The following is a 5,216-nucleotide window of genomic DNA, read 5'->3' as shown; positions in this document are numbered from 1 at the left end:
GTAGGCTAGATAATGGCCTCCCAAAAGACATCCATGTCCCAGTCCCTTGAAACTGAATGTTACCTTATATGGCAAAAAGGTCTTCCAGTTGTGATTAACTTAAGGGTCTGCAGATAGGGAGATTACTGTAGATTATCCAGGAAATCTTAAGTGAAATCACTAGAGTTTTTATAAGACAGAGTCAAGAGGATAGTACACATACATGCAGAATATGAGAAGGCAATGTGGCAGAGGCAGAGACTGGAGTGATGCAGCCACAAGCCAAGGAATACTAGCAGCCACCAGAAGTTAGAGGAGGCAAGGAACAAATTCTTCCCAAGAACCTCTGGAGGAAGTGCTAGTCCTTCCAGAACCTCGATTTTGGCCCAGTGAAACTGATTTTAGATTTCTGGCCGCCAAATCTTAAGAGAATAAATGTGCATTGTTTTAAGCCAAAAAGTTGTGTTATTTTGTTACAGCAACCACAGAAAATGAACACAATTGTCTGCCGGCTTATCTTCACATCAAGAGGAGACTATAGGGGCTATCTTAATTCTGTTTTAGTCCCCGACTCTCAGCTCACTTCAGTAAGTACTGGTGGAATGTTCATTACATGTGAGGAATTGCTCAATGCTGGGCTCATAAACATATGTACAACATGAGCGTGTCTATTAAGTGTACAAAGTACCTGGTGGTATGAAGGAGGATGTTAACTCTATGTGGGGGCTGGGAAACTGTGGGAGGGGAATCCAGGGAGAAATCACAGAGGAAGCAGTTATCCTGCCAGGCATGATTTCTGCCTGCCTTCTGCAATGTTTAGGGACTCAGCCCAGGTTTCTCTTCTTGTCCTGTCCCTAACGTGATATTGCTTTCCTTCCTGCCACTACACCTGGGATTTGATGCAGATTTTCCCCCTAAGCTACCAACCTGAAATCTTCTGGAATCTCATTCTTGCTGAGCTCCTCAGTGGTCATCCCCTCCTCTCTGTGTGACAGGCTCCTGAGCCCCTTAGATCCTGCCACCACTCTGAACTCAGGGAGTGCCTGCACCAGACTCATCTGAGCCTCAGGGTGAGGCTTCCTGTGAGGAATTCTTTCCTCTTATTGATACAGTGGTAGACAGTTTGCAGCCGCTCTGCTCCCAGACCTTGCCTTTTACCTTTGATAGCATTACATATTTTCTGACTTAAACTGATTAGTATGTCTTAAGAAAAGTTCGTGAGGTTTTTCATGTCTTCAAGAGAGTAAGCTTTCTTGAACTTTTTGTTCTGTACAGTATCTAGCATGATACTTTCCACAGGGTAACCCTTTGAAAACAGTTTAGTACTTACTCAAGAAACAATTCCTTGCTGGAGAAGCACAGTTCACGATCAAGTGAAGTGACGGCTATATCCCCAGGTGGGCCCACGCCCCATCCCAGCTGTGTGGGGCAGAGCATGGTCCAGGCAGGATGAGGAAACATCTTTCAACTTGTAGGAAGGCAAGTGAGAAAACACATGCTGGGAATAAAGATTAAAAAACCAGTACTTTAGAGGTAAGAATCACTGGACTTTTTTTTTTTTTTTAAGAAAAATAGCAATGTAGTGATGACTGATGGATATGCTGATTTATTATTTATGATCTCTGTTTAAAAACTGATTTGCTTCTCTGGCTCTCCATTTCTTGGAGGGAGTCAAACCTATGATAGAAGAGTCTGTAGGTGGGAATTTCTGGCTTTTGAGCCGGAAATGGGTAACTACCTTCAAGAATCTGTGCCTAAAAAACAAAAGGAGAGCCAACTCCGGAAAGGTGCTGCCACCCACATGGTCACTTACATGAGCTCATACCTGAAACAAGAGCTTCTTTCTGTTTTCTCCAAAGGGCACACTTCAGAAAGAGCACTGGGAATGGCAAACTAAAAGAGGAGGAAGACATGAAAAGACCTGTATTTACTTGACATGGGAGAAAGAGTCCTGAATATTTTAAATATGATTAAAATTTTAAGTCCATAATTTTTCAGAATGAAAGCCAATTTTCCAAACTCACGTTTTGTTTCTGGGTTCTGGGAGGGGATGGAATGCAGAGTGGGAAGAAGGTGCCCTCGGAAACTCATTCCTGTGTTTGTTGAGGCAGTAGTAATAAGCCCTCATCATCTTGTGGCTCTCAAACACATAAGCTTTATGCAACTTTTGTAATTTGGGAGAAAAGGAGTGAGGTAGCAACAGACTCAGGCCTTAGAAAATGGTCTAAATGCTGCTGTGCCCTCCCACGATATTTTCTTTCTCAGCAAATGCCAATTATTTTCTTCCAGATTTTCAGATAAAAAAACCTGGGAGTCATTCTTGACATTTCTCATACCCCATAGACAATCTATCTTAAAAATATGTCTGGAATGTAATCACCACTCACTGATTTCACCACTATTACCCAGGGCCAGGCTGCCTTGATCTCTTGCCTGCGTTGTGCATTGTTAGCCTCTTTACTGGTCTCTCTGCTTCTAAACTTGCTCCTTTACAGTCTATTAAGACAGTAGCCAGAGGATCCTTGTAAAAGATAAGTCATCTCGTATCACTCCTCTGCTTGAAGCTCTGCGATGGCTTCCCATTTGACTCAGGATAAAAGTTAATTTTCTTTAGTGGCCCCCAAGGCCTCCATGACCTGCACCCCATTACCTAGTCCTACTTACCTCCTGCTGTTCCTTAAACCACCAAGTATGTTGCTGCTTTAGAGGCTTTGCTGTTCCTTTTGTCTGTGACACTCGTCTCTTCCTTCAGGTACTTTTATTATACACTTCTCATGTCATGGCTGTATGGATTTGCATATCACCTTATCAATGAGGTACCTCTGGGCCACACTTTATCACCAATTCCTTCCCTAGTGGCTCTCTTTCACCGATTTATTTAACTCCAGAACACTTAGCATCTGGCACACGGCTTACTTGTTTTAATTGCGTTTCTCTTGTTAAATATAAGCTCCTTTACAACTCTTTGTTTTATTTATCATCATATCCCCAGTGCTTAAAAGAATGCATGGCATGTTTTCAGTACTCAGTTAAATAATTGAGTAAATAATTCCCCATGAAAATGATCAAGTTAGGGACCTGTAAGTCTAAATCCTAATAAGAAGAATTTCCTGTTAGTAAAAAATGTTCAATTAATAAAACCCTGCCATTAAATACCAAAGAATCTTTTTCTGCAGGTCTTTAAAAGAATGAATGATTATCTTTAAAGGTTCATGATTTGCTATTCAGAAATTGATAAAATATAACATTTTAATTCTAGAAATCTTCGTATGTTTTCTTCGTAAATCTGGAATTCTTAGGTTATGATGAGTCCGGACCAGAGGATTGGGGATCGGGATCTCCATAATTAAATAAAGTGGATTCAAGTCTTTTTAAGTGGCAGTGACATTTTTGGTGATAAGTCTGGGAGGATCAAAGTTGATGACAAAACAGAGTGCACTAAAGGGGCTAAGGTGTACGTCATCTCTGCAGCAGCTTAATGTTAAATCAAGGGCGAAGAGTACACCCATGGGGGCATGAGGGCTCTGTCCACACCAGTCAGAATCGCTAGAAAAGGAATCCTGGTTCTACTTATTTTTTGATATTTCCACTTTCTACAGAGTTCCAGATCGCAGATACCTGGATATAGGAGGTTAATCTGCATACAGTTTAGCAACCCTAAAATGTGTGCTTTAAAGAGTATTTTCTGTAGGTCCCACTGAAATGGTAGAGTTTAGAGTGACTATCTTACTCAAAGAACCCTCTATTTTTAAAATCTGAATTTCAGTGTGGAAATTTTCAAACATACAATTAGAATATTGTAATGAGCCACCATGAACTCACCATCCAGCTTCAACAATTACCACATGCTGCCATTCTCAAAACCCACTTAAGACTTCTACACTTTGCACTTAATATGACTTTGCATTTCTGTGTAAATAGTGGATGATTACATCCTTAATAAACAAAGACACCACAGCTGATTGAAAAGCCAACTGGCATAAAGAAATAATTACCTCACTTATTGTGACACACTGGCTTTCTTTATAAGGTTTTGCTAGTTATAAATAGATGACATATTAGGCATAGGTTCAGAGTCAAAGAGCTACAGCTTGGTGGCTTGTTTTGCTGAGTACAAGAAGAGAGGGTGGGAAATAAATACTTAGATGAATTGGATGTGGGAGAAGGAGAGACTAAGACACTTAAAAAAATCACTGCAGTTTTACATAAGTGGATTATTTATGGTAACAAATGTATAAAATGTGGTCATTTCTAAGAGAAAAATGTGGGTTTATAAATGGGAACTAAAAGATTTACAGGATTTAAGAAGTTGTTCTGAACAGTTCTGGGTCAGAACATACTTTGTGTAACTCCCAACTGTGGGCTGAACAGCATGCATGTTTCCTTACACAGAGGGTTCTAGATGTGGGGCTGGTAGCATCAGAGAACATGAGTAAGTCAAAAGTCAAAGGTAGTGTGGTGGCCCCTAGAGAGCTGCTTTTGACGAACAGATCTTGGAGCAATTGGTTTTTGTGTTTGGTTTGCTCCACTTAGCATTTTTAAGGGGAAAAATCCACTTAGCATTTTTAAGGGGAAGTGTAGTAACTTGTGAAACATGTATAGAACTATTTGCTCTTAAATAAATCCAGGTGGTTGAATAGCTTTTCAGTATTTCCAGGCTTAGATAGTTACAAAATAACTTTATTACTCTGTAACAATCAGCCAAGTTTTAATATGGGTTTATAGTATTATAAGTTGGCAATAAAAGCCGACCTATTTTCAGATAATGAGAAAGATACAATATTCATTTTATTAAGTCCTAATAGTTTGCACAGAACATGTATTATAAGATGTCATTTATATGATTAGGTAGTGATTTTTTTTCTTTTTCCTTTTTTTTTTTTCTTGAGACAGAGTTTGGCTCTGTCACCCAGGCTGGAGTGCAGTGGCCCCATCACTGCTCACTGCAGCCTCAACTTCCTAGGCTCAAGTGATCCTCCCCCCTCAGGGCCCCCGTCCCCCCACCCCCTACCAGAGTGCCACAATGCCAGGCTAATATTTGTTTATTGTAGACACAGAATCTCTCTGTGTTGCCCAGGCTGGTATTGAACTTCCAGGCTCAAGCGATCCTCCTGCCTTGGCCTCCCAAAATGCTGGGATTATAGGCATAAGCCACCATGCCTGGCTCCGATTATTATTATTTTTTACTTGTAAAAAGTTCAAGGCCGAAGGGGAAAACATTTATCATAAAATATTCA

General features: G+C 40.4%; 1 annotated feature.

Annotated features, from left to right (window-relative positions):
• Positions 1,446-2,645: an enhancer, noted in NCBI's record as "MED14-independent group 3 enhancer chr6:87433363-87434562 (GRCh37/hg19 assembly coordinates)". NCBI's record gives its function as "activates an origin of replication core promoter dependent on BRD2, BRD4, P300/CBP and CDK7 cofactors, and independent of MED14, by STARR-seq in HCT116 cells {active_cell/tissue: HCT116}" and the evidence as "EXISTENCE:reporter gene assay evidence [ECO:0000049][PMID:35650434]".

Source organism: Homo sapiens, chromosome 6 (genome assembly GCF_000001405.40).
Source record: "Homo sapiens chromosome 6, GRCh38.p14 Primary Assembly".
Lineage (NCBI taxonomy): Eukaryota > Metazoa > Chordata > Mammalia > Primates > Hominidae > Homo > Homo sapiens.
This window is presented reverse-complemented; position numbering and strand designations above follow the sequence as displayed.